General features: G+C 36.9%; 1 protein-coding gene across 20 annotated transcripts in view; it reads right to left on the reverse strand.

The window, feature by feature from the left end:
* The window catches only part of COL24A1 (collagen type XXIV alpha 1 chain), a 427,752-nt gene that overhangs the window by 134,198 nt on the left and 274,690 nt on the right, over window positions 1-18,864 (reverse strand). For all 20 annotated transcript variants that reach the window (NR_146340.2, NR_146341.2, NR_146342.2 and 17 more), the window contains 5 exons: window positions 13,692-13,745; window positions 11,847-11,900; window positions 11,219-11,272; window positions 5,352-5,405; window positions 5,089-5,196 (listed from right to left, as the gene is read on the reverse strand). Coding sequence is in view for 14 of the 20 variants with exons in the window: in XM_047417004.1 (XP_047272960.1) it covers window positions 5,089-5,196; window positions 5,352-5,405; window positions 11,219-11,272; window positions 11,847-11,900; window positions 13,692-13,745 (324 nt within the window). In the remaining 6 variants the exon portion in view is untranslated. The remainder of the gene's footprint in view (window positions 1-5,088; window positions 5,197-5,351; window positions 5,406-11,218; window positions 11,273-11,846; window positions 11,901-13,691; window positions 13,746-18,864) is intronic.

The raw sequence follows: 18,864 nt of genomic DNA on the forward strand, positions 1-18,864 counted from the left end.
CTAAAACCATAAAAACCCTAGAAGAAAACCTAGGCAATACCATTCAGGACATAGGCATGGGCAAGGACTTCATGTCTAAAACACAAAAAGCAATAGCAACAAAAGCCAAAATTGACAAATGGGATCTAATTAAACTAAAGAGCTTCTGCACAGAAAAAGAAACTACCATCAGAGTGAACAGGCAACCTATAGAATGGGAGAAAATTTTTGCAATCTACTCATCTGACAAAGGGCTAATATCCAGAATCTACAAAGAACTCAAACAAACTTACAAGAAAAAAACAAACAACCCCATCAACAAGTGGGCAAAGTGAACAGACACTTCTCAAAAGAAGACATCTATGCAGCCAACAGACAGATGAAACAATGCTCATCATCACTGGCCATCAGAGAAATGCAAATCAAAACCACAATGAGATACCATCTCACACCACTTAGAATGGCAATCATTAAAAAGTCAGGAAACAACAAGTGGGGGAGAGAAGGATGTAGAGAAATAGGAACACTTTTACACTGTTGGTGGGACTGTAACCTAGTTCAACAATTGTGGAAATCAGTGTGGCGATTCCTCAAGGATCTAGAACTAGAAATACCATTTGACCCAGCAATCCCATTACGGGTATATACCCAAAGGATTATAAATCAAGCTGCTATAAAAACACATGCACACGTGGGTTTATTGCAGCACTATTCACAATAGCAAAGACTTGGAACCAACCCAAATGTCCATCAATGATAGACTGGATTAAGAAAATGTGGCATGAACACACCATGGAATACTATGCAGCCATAAAAAAGGATGAGTTCATGTCCTTTGTTGAGACATGGATGAAGCTGGAAGCTATCATTCTCAGCAAACTATCGCAAGGACAAAAAACCAAACACCGCATGTTCTCACTCATAGGTGGGAATTGCACAATGAGAACACTTGGACACAGGAAGGGGAACATCACACACTGTCGTGGGATGGGGGAGGGGGGAGGGATAGCATTAGGTGATATATCTAATGTAAATGACTAGTTAATGGGTGCAGCACACCAACATGGCACATGTATACATATGTAACAAACCTGCACGTTGTGTACATGTACCCTAGAACTTAAAGTATATATATAAAAAATAGACATTATAAACATTTGCTATTAAAAAAAGAAACAAGAAACATATATCTTATCATTCTTTTCTAACTATTGATAATCTTCTCATCTTTATGACTTCACTTTTAAGATCTTATTTAAAAAACTTATTGGAGAAGGTCACTTTATTTCATTTTATCTTCCCTTAAGATATTTACCTCTACCTAATATCATACCACCTTAAACAGATAGTAAAAACCACATTTCAATAAATCCAACCAAATTTTGTCCTAAACATATAAAACAGGACAATTTCATTTTAATACATCCAACTTTGGAGTTTATAGTTGCAAATCTGTTCAGATCTTAGATAACACAGTGGTAGATTTTTTAGCATAGATAACAGACCGTAAGTCAGGCAGATGTTTCCTTTCAGATGCTTCCCAATTCTTTTCTCATGCAGAGTTATGCATTTAGGCAACTGAACATTTTAGCACAAGATTCAAGCATAAAATATACAATTTTTTTTTCTGTTTAAAGAAATCTAACTCCTGGATTTGGAATTCATTACTGATGCTTCCCTTGCTTTATTTTTCAATCCAGATCTCATTCTGCAGTCCTCTAGGAAGTAAGGAGATCTTTTCTTTTCTTGAAAAAAAAAAAAGTTTTATTTCTTTCTCTCACTCTCTTTCTTATTTATTTTGTAGGAATCCAAGGTAGCATCTTTGTGACACTGTCTAAGGAAGAATTTTTAAAGTGCAAAAATAAATCCAGCATTAGGGTGCCTGATTAAGCAATAGTTCCTTGGATTGCAAAATTCTTTTGAAAAAATATGCCATGGTATTTTTATTGAGTTTACAAGCTGAAAGCCATTTAAAATTCCAAGGAGAACAACAAAAAGAATAAAAAAACACACATGTGGTGTTACTAAAAAAAGGCACCAAAGATGTGTACTAGGCATGATTTTTCCTGGGAAAAATTATGAAGCAGATGAAATCTGTGTTTATCATTTTTCCATGCCTTGTTTTGAGTCCCATTTCCATCTCTGCTCTACTCGTCACCAGCTGTCATACTGTATCATTCCTCTTTGGGATTCCTTGCTGTGGTATTCTACGGTATATGTTTAGACTTTCCCTTTTCTTAATTCTGTTTTTTCCCTCTCTACAAACTCTTAGGATTCTGCTAGAGAACTATGCTAGTTGATTTTTTAAATATACATACTAAAGTATGAATAACTGTTGGTGGTTTTTTAACCTGAAAACAAATTTGACAAGAATGATCAGGAAGATAATCACACTTTCTTGGCATTTGTTACTTGGCTTCTCTGTGGGTCCAGGCCTGACACTAATGGAAGAGGGATGAGTCCTCTAACAAAGATGAAAATTATTAAGAACTCTAGAAAGGAAAAATATGGGGCCAAAGCTGGTTAACCCATGGGTAAGCGAGGCTTAGAAAATAAAGAAATTTCTTTAATGGCTGGGTGTAGCGGCTCATGCCTGTAATCCCAGCACTTTGGGAGGCCAAAGTAGGGGGATCACTTGAGTTCAGGAGTTTGAGAACAGCCTGGCCAACATGGTGAAACCCCATTTCTACTAAAAATACAGAAATTAGGTGGGCATGGTGGTGGGTGCCTGTACTCCCAGCTACTTGGGAGGCTGAGGCAGGAGAATCACTTGAACCCGGGAGGCAGAGGTTGCAGTGAGCCAAGATCGTGCCACTGCACTTCTGGGTGAGAGTGAGACTCTGCCTAAAAGAAAAGATTCTTTATTAATAATTTCTTTAGTGATTATTCTTTAGTAAATAAATAAAGCAGTGCCATCTGCTATATTATCTTGTACAAATCTCTTAGCTTTTTCTAAGTTTTTTCCCAGTTGTAAAATAGGGAATAATAACATCTATAGGTTATTGGGAGGATTCTATGACAGTATATAAGTGAAATTATATTGTTTAATGTTTGGACTAATGATGTTTAAGATAATTTTGGGAGCTGGGCATGGAGGCTTACACATGTAATCCCAGCACTTTGGAAGGCCGAGTCCGGTGGATCACTTGAGGTCAGGAGTTTGAGACCAGCCTGACCCACATGGTAAAACCCCGTCTCTACTAAAAATATAAAAATTAGCCTGGCATGGTGGTGCGTGCCTGTAGTCCCAGCTACTCTGGAGGCAGAGGTAACAGAATCTCTTGAACCCGGGAGGTGGAGGTTGCAGTGAGCCTAGATCATGCCATTGCACTCCAGCCTGGGTGACAGAGTGAGACTCTATCTCATAAATAAATAAATAAATAAGATAAGTTTTTGGGATTCCTAAGTACTTTGTATTTGCTGTGCTGGAACACCCATCACAGTTCTCCAGGTCTGAGGGAAGGACAGAGAAGAAATGGGCACTTACCACTGCTGTAAAACTGAAAAGAAAAAAGTTGCCATTTGCCAGTGCTCAAAAATAATCTTATACTTCTGGTTTATCTTCATTCTTCAAATGTTACTTTGAAATATGCTATTATTTGGGGGTAGATGTGTTATAATATTATTTTAATTGCTGCTAAAGGAATTATAGTCATTGATAAAAATGAATGGTAAGACAGCTAGTTTGTGTTTCATTTAAGATATTTGTTGTTTTCTTCCAGATAGAGCTTTCCTCTTAGTCCTGCAAACCTAATTGAGCTGATTGGGGCAGGGCCCATTCAATGATCTGCAGGTTAGAAACCAGAGGAAAAGAGAAGGACAGAAAAAAAAGCTGAAAATTATAAACACTGTAAACCACTACTTTGTCTTCCAGCCTGCCTGCATGATCAGTTTACTCATAATTAGTTCCTCAGTCTTTACTGAGCCCCAATGTGGAAATACTGGAGCACAGAAGCACTGTGGTTTATGGGAAGGAGTAAAGACAGAGCATCTGGTTTTGAAGAGCTATGTTTTCTCTTGGGGAAGAGACCCACATGCTTAAATGCTGTAATCTTTAAAAGGCAGAATAAAACTGCCAGAGTACAGAAGAAAGAGAAACCATTTTCTGGTAGGGTCAAAAGGGATGACTCCCAAGATAGGACAATACCTCCAAAGGCATGAACATTTACAGAAGTAAAGACAATAACTTTGAGGAGAACCCACGTTTAAAGATATGAGACAAGAAAAAGGGAACAGTAAAATGAAACAATAGAATGACCAGATAGGCTGTATCTGGAAGACTATAATAAATTAAGCATTTAAGCAAAAAAGATGCTATTTTCTCTCTCTCAGTCTGTCTCTCTCTCTCTTTTTGAGATGGAGTCTCACTCTGTCTCCCAGGCTGGAGTGTAGTGACACGATCTTGGCTCACTGTAACCTCTGCCTCCTGGGTTCAAGCGATTCTCCTGCCTCAGCCTCCTGAGTAGCTGGGATTACAAGCACGCACCATGGTGCCCAGCTAATTTTTGTATTTTTGGTGGAGAAGGGGTTTCACCATGTTGGCCAGGCTGGTCTCTAACTCCTGACCTCAGGTGATCCACCCACTTCAGCTTCCCAAAGTGCTGGGATTACAGGCCTGGCCATTACTCTTATTATTTATTCACATCTTCCACTTGTCTTGAGGTGAGAGAATTTGTTCAAAATGATGTTTAGAACTTCCTTTGAAGTAATAACAAAATTCAGGATCAGATCTGATAGCTCATATTATGCTTGCAAAGAATTTCTTGTTTCATCCTGGAGCTGCGATATTACTCTACAACAATAATGTCAGTTATAGGAATAAAGATCCAAAATATTTAATCAAACTCAGTTTGAGACAACATAAAACATTCCTTTATAAATGCTTTATGACAGAAGTTACATGGCTTATGGAAAAAGTATCTTTCCTCTTTGGATCTTAGGAGGGCTGATAATCAGTCCTTGACTTTTCCTTCTCTCTAGCCACAGTTTCACATATACAATTATCCACTGGATATATAAGGAGGTCAGAGTGTGTGTAGGTTTGTGCATGTGTACACATACAGGCAGTGAATTCACTTAGTATTTGAAAGTGAACCCAGCAGTACTTACCGGAAGGCCTGTTTGGCCTGATCTACCCAAGGGTCCTATAATTCCTGGTAAGCCCATCTCTCCTTTTTCTCCATCCTCTCCAGGAAGTCCCCTTCCTCCTGGTACTCCCTGTAATGCAATAAAAAAGTTTTCTATAAAGGAATACAGTGAAATAATTATGCCAATAATAAACAGGTTTTTGTCACACAAAAACAATGATGTCTAATATTTTAAAGATTTTACAAAACATCTATTTTATATATAATCTTAAAAGTATAATTTACCTTTAACCCATCTTTTCCCTGGAGACCTTCTTCTCCAGGAGCTCCTGGTTCACCCTATTTTGTAGCAGAAAGAGTATGATTGAGTTTTTTTTTGCTATATCATTTATCTTATTTTATTTTTAGCCCATAGTATATATGGAAAATAGCAAATTTGTGTTCACTTATTTCTACTACTTTATTTCTAAAGAGGATTTGACAGTAAAATGAGAATGATTTAATTTGCCTTGAATAGCTCTGAAGATGATTTCATGATTCAGAGTGTCATAAATTCAAATATAAGATGATTCCAGAATATTAATAAATTTTAGATAATTAAAGTAATATATATCCATTTGGTAGCTCTAGAATTTTACATAGCTAGACTTGTGTTTCTGAGTTCAAGAAATGTAAATACTGCATCTCATAAAGTTATAGTGCTTTGCTATATTGTATTTACATGGGTTAATAAAACTTGATTCAGTTATGACCACTCTACCAGATTTTTAGAGTTTCCATATTTTCTCCCTTTAAGTAGAGAGGTAAAGATTAAGGCTCTGCAACGTACAAATTCAGGAAATACAGAGAACACCACAAAGATACTCCTTGAGAAGAGCAACTCCAAGACACATAATTGTCAGATTCACCAAAGTTGAAAAGAAGGAAAAAATGTTAAGGGCAGCCAGAGAGAAAGGTCGGGTTAACCACAAAGGAAAGCCCATCAGACTAACAGCGGATCTCTTGGCAGAAACTCTAGAAGCCAGAAGAGAGTGGGGGCCAACATTCAACATTCCTAAAGAAAAGAATTTTCAACCCAGAATTTCATATTCAGCCAAACTAAGCTTCATAAGTGAAGGAGAAATAAAATCCTTTAAGGACAAACAAATGCTGAGAGATTTTGTCACCACCAGGCCTGCCCTACAAGAGCTCCTGAAGGAAGCACTAAACACGGAAAGGAACAACCAGGACCAGCCACTGCAAAAACATGCCAAATTGTAAAGACCATCGATGCTAGGAAGAAACTGCATCAACTAATGAGCAAAACAACCAGCTAACATCATAATGACAGGATCATATTCACACACAACGATATTAACCTTAGATGTAAATGGGCTAAATGCTCCAACTAAAAGACACAGACTGGCAAACTGGATAAAGAGTCAAGACCCATCAGTGTGCTGTATTCAGGAAACCCATCTCATGTGCAGAGACACACGATGGCTCAAAATAAAGGGATGGAGGAAGATCTACCAAGCAAATGGAAAACAAAAAAAGGCAGGGGTTGCAATCCTAGTCACTGATAAAAAGACTTTAAACCAACAAAGATCAAAAGAGACAAAGAGGGCCATTACATAATGGTAAAAGGATCAATTCAACAAGAAGAGCTAACTATCCTAAATATACATGCACCCAATACAGGAGCACCCAGATTCATAAAGCAAGTCCTCAGAGACCTACAAAGAGACTTAGACTCCCACACAATAATAATGGGAGACTTTAACACCCCATTGTCAACATTAGACAGATCAATGAGACAGAAAGTTAACAAGGATATCCAGGAATTGAACTCAGCTCTGCACCAAGCAGACCTAATAGACATCTACAGAACTTTCCACCCCAAATCAACAGAATATACATTCTTCTCAGCACCATATCACACTTATTCCAAAATTGACCACATAGTTGGAAGTAAAGCACTCCTCAGCAAGTGTAAAAGAACAGAAATTATAACAAACTGTCTCTCAGACCACAGTGCAATCAAACTAGAACTCAGGATTAAGAAACTCACTCAACACTGCTCAACCACATGGAAACTGAACAACCTGCTCCTGAATGACTACTGGGTACATAACGAAATGAAGGCAGAAATAAAGATGTTCTTTGAAACCAATGAGAACAAAGACACAACACACCAGAATCTCTGGGACACATTTAAAGCAGTATGTAGAGGGAAAGTTATAGCACTAAATGCTCACAAGAGAAAGCAGGAAAGATCTAAAATTAACACCCTAACATCACAATTAAAAGAACTAGAAAAGCAAGAGCAAACACATTCAAAAGCACACCGAAGGCAAGAAACAACTAAGATCAGAGCAGAACTGAAGGAGATAGAGACAGAAAAAACCCTTCAAAAAATCAATGAATCCAAGAGCTGGTGTTTTGAAAAGATCAACAAAATTGATAGACCGCTAGCAATACTAATAAAGAAGAAAAGAGAGAAGAATCAAATAGATGCAATAAAAAATGATAAAGGGGTTATCACCACCGATCCCACAGAAATACAAACTACCATCAGAGAATACTACAAACACCCCTATGCATATAAACTAGAAAATCTAGAAGAAATTGATAAATTCCTGGACACACACACCCTCCCAAGACTAAGCCAGGAAGAAGTTGAATCCCTGAATAGACCAATAATAGGCTCTAAATTGAGTCAATAATTAATAGCCTACCAACCAAAAAAAGTCCAGGACCAGATGGATTCACAGCCGAATTCTACCAGAGGTGCAAGGAGGAGCTGGTACCATTCCTTCTGAAACTATTCCAATCAACAGAAAAAGAGGAATCCTCCCTAACTCTTTTTATGAGGCCAGCATCATCCTGATACCAAAGCCTGGCAGAGACACAACAAAAAAAGAGAATTTTAGACCAATATCCCTGATGAACTTCAGTGGAAAAATCCTTGATAAAATACTAGCAAATTAAATCCAGCAGCACATCAAAAAGCTTATCCACCATGATCAAGTGGGCTTCATCCCTGGGATGCAAGGCTGGTTCAACATATGCGAATCAATAAATGTAATCTAGCATATAAACAGAACCAAAGATAAAAACCACATGATTATATCAACAGATGCAGAAAAGGCCTTTGACAAAATTCAACAGCCCTTCATGCTAAAAACTCTCCATTAATTAGGTATTGATGGGACATATCTCAAAATAATAAGAGCTATTTATGACAAACCCACAGCCAATATCATACTGAATGGGCAAAAAACTGGAAGCATTCCCTTTGAAAACTGGCACAAGACAGGGATGCCCTCTCTCACCACTCCTGTTCAACATGGTGTTGGAAGTTCTGGCCAGGGCAATCAGGCAGGAGAAAGAAATAAAGGGTATTCAATTAGGAAAAGAGGAAGTCAAATTGTCCCTGTTTGCAGATGACATGATTGTATATTTAGAAAACCCCATCGTTTCAGCCCCAAATCTCCTTAAGCTGATAAGCAACTTCAGCAAAGTATCAGGATACAAAATCAATGTGCAAAAATCACAAGCATTCTTATACACCAATAACAGACAAACAGCCAAATCATGAGTGAACTCCCATTCACAATTGCTTCAAAGAGAATAAAATACCTAGGAATCCAGCTTACAAGGGATGTGAAGGACCTCTTCAAGGAGAACTACAAACCACTGCTCAACGAAATAAAAGAGGACACAAACAAATGGAAGAACATTCCATGCTCATGGATAGGAAGAATCAATATTGTCAAAATGGCCATATTGCCCAAGGTAGTTTATAGATTCAATACCATCCCCATCAAGCTACCAATGACTTTCTTCACAGAATTGGAAAAAACTACTTTAAAGTTCATATGGAAACAAAAAAGAGCCTGCATTACCAAGACAATCCTAAGCCAAAAGAACAAAGCTGGAGGCATCACACTACCTGACTTCAAACTATACCAGAAGGCTACTGTAACCAAAACAGCTGGTACCAAAACAGAGATATATACCAATGGAACAGAACAGAGCCCTCAGAAATAACACCACATCTCTACAACCATCTGATCTTTGACAAACCTGACAAAAACAAGAAATAGGGAAAGGATTCCCTATTTAGTAAATGGTGTTAAGAAAACTGGCTAGCCATATGTAGAAAGCTGAAAACGGATCCCTTTCTTACACCTTATACAAAAATTAATTCAAGATGGATTAAAGACTTAAATGTTACACTTAAAACCATAAAAACCCTAGAAGAAAACCTAGGCATTACCATTCAGGACATAGGCATGGGCAAGGACTTCATGTCTAAAACACAAAAAGCAATGGCAACAAAAGCCAAAATTGACAAATGGGATCTAATTAAACTAAAGAGCTTCTGCACAGAAAAAGAAACTACCATCAGAGTGAACAGGCAACCTACAGAATGGGAGAAAATTTTTGCAATCTACCCATCTTTCAAAGGGCTAATATCCAGAATCTACAAAGAACTCAAACAAACTTACAAGAAAAAAACAAGCCCATCAACAAGTGGGTGAAGGATATGAACAGACACTTCTCAAAAGAAGACATTTATGCAGCCAACAGACACATGAAAAAATGCTCATCATCACTGGCCATCAGAGAAATGCAAATCAAAACCACAATGAGATACCATCTCACACCAGTTAGAATGGCGATCATTAAAAAGTCAGGAAACAACAAATGCTGGAGAGGAGGATGTGTAGAAATAGGAACACTTTTACACTGTTGGTGGGACTGTAAACTAGTTCAACCATTGTGGAAGACAGTGTGGCGATTCCTCAAGGATCTAGAATTAGAAATACCATTTGACCCAGCAATCCCATTACTGGGTGTATACCCAAAGGATTATAAATCATGCTGCTATAAAGACACATGCACATGTATGTTTATTGTGGCACTATTCACTATAGCAAAGACTTGGAACCAACCCAAATGTCCATCAATGATAGACTGGATTAAGAAAATGTGGCACATATACACCATGGAATACTATGCAGCCATAAAAAAGGATGAGTTCATGTTCTTTGTTGGGACATGGATGAAGCTGGAAACCATCATTCTCAGCAAATTATCACAAGGAGAAAATACCAAACACTGCATGTTCTCACTTATAGGTGGGAAATAAACAATGAGAACACTTGGACACAGGAAGGGGAACATCACACACTGTCGTGGGGTAGGGGAGGGGGAAGGGATAGCATTAGGAGATATATCTAATGTAAATGAGAAGTTAATGGGTGCAGCACACCAACATGGCACATGTATACATATGTAACAAACCTGCACGTTGTGCACATGTACCCTAGAACTTAAAATACATAAAAAAAAAAGACTAAGGCTCCGGTACATTAATTAGTTGTCTTTTAGATATGGAACTTGCAGAAATGTAGAGCCATACTTTATGAAGCTATTAAAGTAGGACTGGCTCTCTTGATACTAAAATTATTTAAAAGTAAATTAATTAGTGCATATTTATAGTTGCTCCATCTTTCCCATTCACCCCACCCCACCCAAAAAAGAGAAAGTAAAAAGGAAGAAGCCAGATGCAAAATATATCTCCCTACTTTGCCTTTTAGTGAATAAATGTCTGTTAAAATTATCTTGGGCCCTATTATCTTAGGAAAAAACTCCTTACCACAGCTCAAAATAAAGGCTGTCTATATTAGCATAACGTCTCAAAGCTATCTAATTGCAACAATTTACAATTATGTCCTTGCATCTTGTTAACTTTGCATGATCATAGGTTTGGTTTTTTTTTAGAGCAAGTTAAATCTATAAATTAGATTTCAATCTTGTTAGGTCAGGAACTATTCTGAGAGTTGTTCACTGGTATTTGTGAATTTCTTCTTAATGCTAACATTAGTGACAATCACAGTGACTCCACATTTTTGGTAAGGGTTCTGCAAAGTATACCTGATTTTGAGAAAAGGACATATGAGGTTAAGACTGTAAATACTACTAAATTAGAATAGGGACAAGGTTTGGGATGCAGCTTTTGAAAGTATGAAATGAAACCAAACATTTTCTATAATGTATCAGAAAGGTTTATTATCCAATTTTTTGAGTGTTTCGAATAATAAGTTTTGAGCCTCTGAAAGAAGTGGGTTAGTGTATTAAAAGAGTTTCAAGGGGGCACTCACCCGTAAACCTGGTTCCCCAGTTCCTCCAACACTGCCAGCAGTTCCAACATCTCCCTGAAGAAACAAAGGGAAAGATTAAACTCTTTTCTACTAAGACTGCATGGCTAATTATGGAGGGCATGCCATACGGCACAGTTCCCCAACGCCTGGGCCGTAGAGGGTACCTGTCCAAGGCCTGTTAGGAAATGGGCTGCAAAACAGCAGGTGAGCAGCTGGTGAGCCAGCATTACTGTCTGAGCTCCACCTCCTGTCAGATCAGTGGCAGCATTAGATTCTCATAGAAACACGAACCCTATTGTCAACTGTGCATTCGAGGGATCTGGGTTGCTCAGTCCTTATGAGAATCTAATGCTTGATGATCCGAGGTAGGACAGTTTCATCCTGAAACCATCCCCTGCTCTGCTTCCATCTGTGGAAAAACTGTCTTCCATGAAACTTGTCCCTGGTGCCAGCCAAATAGGTTGGGGACTGCTGTCATAAGGAATAGGAGTTCCAAAACATTTCCTGTTTTTATCTGGGGGCTTCCACCTGCTTTCAAGTTAGCAAATATAGGGGATTCAATGGTAGCAAATGTAGGGGGTTCAATGGTGAAAGTTTAGAGATTCTCCTTTATTTTTTAGAAGGTTACCTTTGCACCTGGTTCACCTTGCAGACCAGACTCTCCCTCAGTGCCTGGAGGTCCCTACAAGAGAATAATTTAACACATTACAAAGGCAATAGCAATCTCATGAGAAGATGGTGGTAACACTGAACTCAAGGGTGAGATACCTGTGTCCAAAAGGGCATAATTGCTGTCCCTTTATAAACTTCATAGCATAAGAGCAGATTCTTTCTGACACCCTTTAATTGTTTAAATGTCAAGACAACTTCGTCTAAAATTAGGACTTTTAAGATCCATTTCTTCTAATCCTTTCTCTCATCCTTTAAACCTCATCTAAAGGGATTTGTTCTTCCTTTCCCTTTCTGTAGTGCCTTCAGGAATCTACTTACTTAAAAAATTCACTTTTCCTTATTGGTTTCATAAAAATATCATGCAAATAAGAGATAAATTTATTCACATTATAAAAGACACACACACACACACACACACACACACACACACACACACACACACACACAGAGCTTCTTTTCCAGCCTTCTTTCATGGTGGGTCCATTTTTGTTGGGAAGCTTTCAGTTTTCTTTACTTTGAGAACATAGAAGTTCTTGCAACCTCTGGCTATTTCCAGGCCTAAAGTTCCTACTATTGCTTGATGTTACAACTATTTTTGTCTCCAAGAGATATTTACCTTATTTATAAACATGCTATGTGTGCCCCTCCCTTCCCTTTAGGGAAGAGAAGAGTTTTATTGGGGACACGGGTGAACAGGTCTGCAGAAATTAAATCATGTAAACCATTACTTATCATGTTAAGAAATTGGCATTTTATCCTAAAGGCCATGAGAGCTCTTGAAACATTTAAAGGAAACGAATGATATAAGAATGATAAACCGGCAACAAGTAGAAGATGGAATTATAGGAGTTGGAGGAGACATGGCATGAGAGTGTAGGGGCTATTACACTGGCAATAGGGATAAAAAGGAAAGGGTAGATTTAAGAGAGAATGGGCAGGGGCAGGCCTATTCAAAAGGAAATGGTCACTGATTTGAGAGGATTAGGTAGAAGAAGGAGTCTAGGATGACTCTTAGTTTTGGGTTATTGGGTATAAGGGATATCTTTCATTGAGATGGGAATTAAACAGAGGAAGAACAGTGGGACAGTAATGGATTTGGTTTAGATATTTTGAATTGTAGATGTCTGTGGGATATCTAGGTGGATGTTTAAAAAGATAACAGGAAATCAATAATTGGATCTGAGGAGAGAGGTATAAAATACAGCTACCAAGTTGAGAGCTATCAGAGTAATATTGGTACTTAAAGTCACTGTGATAATATGATCACTAAGCCAAGGAAGTAAAAGGGCAACTTCAGGTCAAGACTGAGAAAGGCTAATGAGAAGGTGAAGTGACAACAGGAGAGAGCAGTTTCACAGCAGCCAAGGAAGGAAAGAATTTGATTTATTTAGTGCTAAAGTTACAAACAATGGAAATAAAATAATTGGATATTTATAACAAATTTGGCTTATAATTCCAAAATATATCCCAAATTGGGTAATGTCTCAGTATTCTTCTATACAGGGCATATAATATCTTAGGATGAAAGGTTATCAAGTCAACTTTAAATCAGTGAAGGGAAAGCTCTATCTACTTTTTGTTCTGTCATTTCAATGAGGTAATTATTAGAGTAGAACTTTATATGTATAAAATTAGACATATAATAATCATCTCTGCTTTTAATGGAATTTTAGTTTTTTTCTGAATATGAAACAATACTATAGAATTATTCCTCATAGTATATATTTAATTATTAATTTTACCTTAGAGTCTTACAAAAAGTAGAATATTTATGAAGAAGAACTAGCCACAAAAAATTTACCTCCATGCCCATTTCTCCAGGAGGTCCAACATCACCTTGCAGTCCTCGCAGTCCCTATATTAAAATAAAATTTAAGATATGAGAATAAAAGTTTACTCTATGTCAGTAAATGTATTCATCTGGATATGGGTTTTATAATATAACACATAACACATGATTATGTAAATACATAATACATTTATCAGCATATTACTTTACTCTGTATAAACAAAATTATATCTTTAATTGATTCATGTATGTGTGTGTGTTTTTGTTTTTGAGACTGAGTTTCACTCTGGTTGCCCAGGCTGAAGTGCAATGGTGCAGTCTCCACTCACTGCAACCTCCGCCTCCCAGGTTCAAGCGATTCTCCTCCCTCTGCCTCCCAAGTAGCTGGGATTACAGGCAATTGCCACCACGCATGGCTAATTTTCATATTTGTAGTAGAGATGGGATTTCACTATGTTGACCAGGCTGGTCATGAACTCCTGACCTCAGGTGATCCACCTGCCTCAGCCTCCCAAAGTGCCGGGATTACAGGCATGAGCCACTGCGCCCAGCTTCATGTGTGTTTTTAAAATAAATTTACTAAGCTATGCTTATATTAAAAAGAAAAGAGTGGCATTCATTCTTTTATTCTTTAATGCACTCATTCATTCAACATTTATTAAGCACCTCATAAGTATCATATATTGTGCTAAGCATTTTGACAAGGTATCTTATCTAATGTATGTGATAGTCATTCATCTACTTAAAATTCCTAGCAAATATGTGACAAACAAATTTGCATCTTAAAGAAGTAAATATATGATCTTTTTTTTTACTGACTGTACAGTTTTACCCCTCAAGAGTGTCATATAGTTGGAATCATACAGCATGTAACCTTTTCATACTGACTTCTTTAACTTAGCAGTATGCATTTAAAGTTCCTTTATACATTTTTGTGGCTTGATAGCTCATTTATTTTTAATGCTGAATAATATTCCATTGTATGGATATACCACAGTTTGTTTATCCATTTATTCATTGGACATTGTTTTAGTTCACTCAGGATTCTATAACAAAATAGTATAAATTAATAGCTTATAAACCACACAAATTTATTTCCCACAGTTCTGGAGGCTGGAAAGTCCAAGATCAAGGTGCTGGCAGATTCAGTGTCTGGTGAAGGCCCACTTGCTGCTTCATAGATGGTGCCTTCTAGTTGTGTCCTCACATGTTAGAAGAAATGAGCTAGCTCTCTCGTGCATCTTTTACAAAGACACTACTCCCAATCATGAGGGCACAGCACCTCAAAGATCCTGCCCTATAATACCATTACCTTGGGAATTGGGATTTCAACATATGAATTTTGGGGAAACACGGTCCAATTATAGCAGACATATTGGTTCATATTGGTTGCTTCAAATTTTTTGCACCTATAAATAAAGCTGCTATAAACATTCTTGTACAGGTTTTTGTGTGGACATAAGTTTTCAACTCATTTGGGTAAACACTAAGGATTGTGATCACTGGATCATATGTTAAGAGTATGCCTAGCTTCTTAAAAAACTGCCATACTGTCTTCCAAATTGGCTGTACCATTTTGCATTCTCACCAGCAATGAATGAGAGCTCCTGTTGCTCCACATCCTTGCCAACCTGTGGCATTATCAAAGTTTTAGATTTCAGCCATTCTAACAGATGTATAGTGGTATGTCATTATTGTTTTAATTTGTAATTTACTAATGACATATGATGTTGAGCATATTTTTACATTCTTCTATGCCATTTCTATATCTTCTTTGGTGTGGTGTCTGTTCAGATTTTTGCCAACATTTTAACTGGTTTTTAAAGAAAATTGTTGAGTTTTAATTTTTTTTTCTATATTTTGGATACAAGTCTTTTATCAGATATATGTTTTGAAAATATTTTCTCCCAGTCTGTGGACTGTCTCTTCATTCTCTTAACAGTGTTTTTTCAAGGCAGATTTAAAAAGATGTTAATGAAGTCCAACTTACCAGTTTTTTCTTTCATGGGTTGTGCTTTTGGTGATATAGCTAAAAACTCATCAACAAACCTCAGGTCACATAGATTTTCTCTATGTTTATATTTTAGGAGTTTTATGGCTTTGTTTTTTACATTTAAGTCTATGATTCATTTTGAGGGTGTGTGTGTGTGTGTGTGTGTGTGTGTGTGTAAGGTGTAAGATCTGCATCTAGATTCACGTTTTGCATGTGGATATCTATTTGTTCCAGCATAATTTGTTGAAAAGACTATCCATTGTATTGCCTTTGCTCCTTTGTCACAGATCACTTGATTTTATTTGTGACTATATGTTGTGTATATTGTGTAGAACAAAGAGTATAACTGTTCTATTTCTGGGCTTACCACTCTGTTCCAATGATCTACAGTCGACACTTAAAACAACATAAGGGTTACAGTGCCAACCTCCTGCAGAGTTAAAAATCTGAGTACAACTTTTGACTCCTCCAAAATGTAACCACTTATAGCCTACTGTTGACTGGATGCCTTACTAATAACATAAGCAGCTGTTTAACACATATTTTATATGTTATATGTATTGTATACTGTATTTTAAAGTAAGCTAGAATAAAGAATACTGTATTCTTAAGTGGAAGTAGAGCATCATCAAGATCTTCATCCTCATTGTCTCCATGCTGAGTAGGCTGAGGAGGTGGAAGAAGGGAAGGGGTTGTTCTCACTGTCTCAGGGGTAGCGGAGGTGAAAGAAAATCCACAAATAAGAGGACCTTTGCAGTTCAAACCCGTGTTGTTCAAGGGTCAATCGTACTTGTCTATTCTTTTGCCAATATCACACTGTCTTGATTACTGTAGTTTTACAGTAAATCTTGAAGTCAGTGTCAGTTCTCCAAGTTTGTTCTTCAATATTGTATTGGCTATTCTGGGTCTTTTGCCTTTCCATAGGAACTTCAGAATCTGTTAATATCTACAATGTAACTTGCTTGGATTTTGATTAGAATTGAATTGACTTGATAGATCCATTTGTGAAGAACTAATATCTCAACAATATTGAGTCTTTCTACCCATAACCATGAAATATCCTTCCATTTATGTAGATCTTTAATTTCTTTGATAAAAGTTTACCTCATATAGATCTTGTATATATTTTGTTAGAGTTACAACTATTTCTTTCTCTCTTTTTTGGTGCTAATGTAAATAGTATTGTGTTTTTCATTTTAAATTCCAATTGCTCATTGCTGTTAATATAGAAAAGCAATTGACTTTTGTATATTAACTTATACCCTGTTATGCTACAATCTCATTATAACTGCTTATTAGTTTCGGGAGTTTAAAAAATCAGTTCTTGAAGATTTTTTACACAGACAGCCATGCCATATACAAAGAAAGACAGTTTTATTTCTTCTTTCCAAATTTGTATACTTTTTCTTTTCTTTTCTTATTGCACTAGCTAGGACTTCCAGAACTATGCTGAATAGGAGTCAAAATTTAACAAAGGAGGAACATGTTTTCCTTATTCCCTTGTTCTTAAAAGAAAAGTATCTAGTTTTCTCACCAGTAAGTATAATGTTGGCTATAAGGTTTTTTAAAAAATATGTTTTTCAAAAAGCTGAGGAAGTGCCCCTTTATTCCAAGTTTGAGAGTTTTTTTTTTATCTTGAATTGTTGTTGGATTTTGTCAAATTATTTTTCTGCATCTTTTCATATTACATTTTCATTTAGCTTATTGAGGTGATGGATTACATTAATTGACATTCTACTGTTAAACCAGCCTTGTATACCTGGAAAAAATTCCACTGGGTTATGATGCATAATTCTGTTTATACATTGTTTGATTCAATTTGCTAATATTTTGTTGAGGATTTTACATCTATGTTCATGAATGATATTGGTCTATAGTTTTCTTGTGATGTGTTTGTCTGGTTTTGTTTTTAAGGTAATGCTCACATAATGGCCTCATGTGTGTGGCCTCACATAATTAGGAAATATTCTATTGTTTCTATTTTCTGGAACAGCTTGTACATAATTGGTATCATATGTTCTTTAAATGTTTAGTTGAATTCACCAATGAGATAACCTGGAACCAGTACTTTCTGTTTTAGAAGGTTATTAGTGATTGATTCTATTTCTTTATCAATACAGGTTGAGGAAGATATTGATGGATATCAAATCAAATCAAATCAAATCAAATCAAACCTATTCAGGTTATCCCTTTCTGTTTATATGAGTTTTGGTAAAATACGTCTTTTAAGGAATTGGTCTATTTCATTTAAGTTATCAAATTTGTGGAAATATTGGGAGGCCGAGGCGGGCCGATCACGAGGTCAGGAGTTTGAGACCAGCCTGACCAACCTGGTGAAACCCCATTTCTACTAAAAATACAAAAAAAAAAAAATTAGCCAGGTGTGGTGGTACGCACCTGTAATCCCAGCTACCCAGGAGGCTGAGGCAGGAGAATCACTTGAACCCAGGAGGTGGAGGTTGCAGTGAGCTGAGATCACGCCACTGCATTCCAGCCTGGGTGACAGAACGAGACTCTGTCTCAAAACAGAAAAAAAAATTTGTGAAAATAGAATTGCTCATAATATCCATTTATTGTCATTTTAATGTTAATGAGATCAGTAGTGATGGCCTCTCTTTCACTTCTGATATTAGTAATTTGTATTTTCTCCTTTTTTTCCCCTTGGTTAGCCTGGCCTGAGGTTGATTAATTTTGGTTGCATTGATGTTCTCTATTGTTTTCCTGTTTTCAATTTCACTGATTTCTGCTGATTTTTATTACTTATTTTCTTCTGCTTACTTTGTATTTAATTTGCTTTTCTTTTATAGTTTCCTAGGATGGAAGCTTAGATTACTAATCTTAAGTATTTCTTCTTTCCTCTTATTCAGTGCTATAAATTTCCCTCTAGGCACTGCATCCCACGAATTTTGACAAACTATATTTTCATTTAGTTCAAAATATTTTTAAATTATTCCTGAAACTCCTTCTTTGACCAATAAGTTATTAAAAGTGTATTATTTAATCTCCAAATGTTTTGGGATTTTCCAGCCATTTTCTGTTACTGTGGTGTGAGAGCAAACATTGTATGATGTCTAGTCTTTTAAATTTGTTGTTGGCCGGGCGCAGTGGCTCACGCTTGTAATCCCAGCACTTTGGGAGGCTGAGGCGGGCGGTTCACGAGGTCAGGAGATCGAGACCACGGTGAAACCCGTC

The sequence above is a fragment of the Homo sapiens genome, chromosome 1, assembly GCF_000001405.40.
Source record: "Homo sapiens chromosome 1, GRCh38.p14 Primary Assembly".
Lineage (NCBI taxonomy): Eukaryota > Metazoa > Chordata > Mammalia > Primates > Hominidae > Homo > Homo sapiens.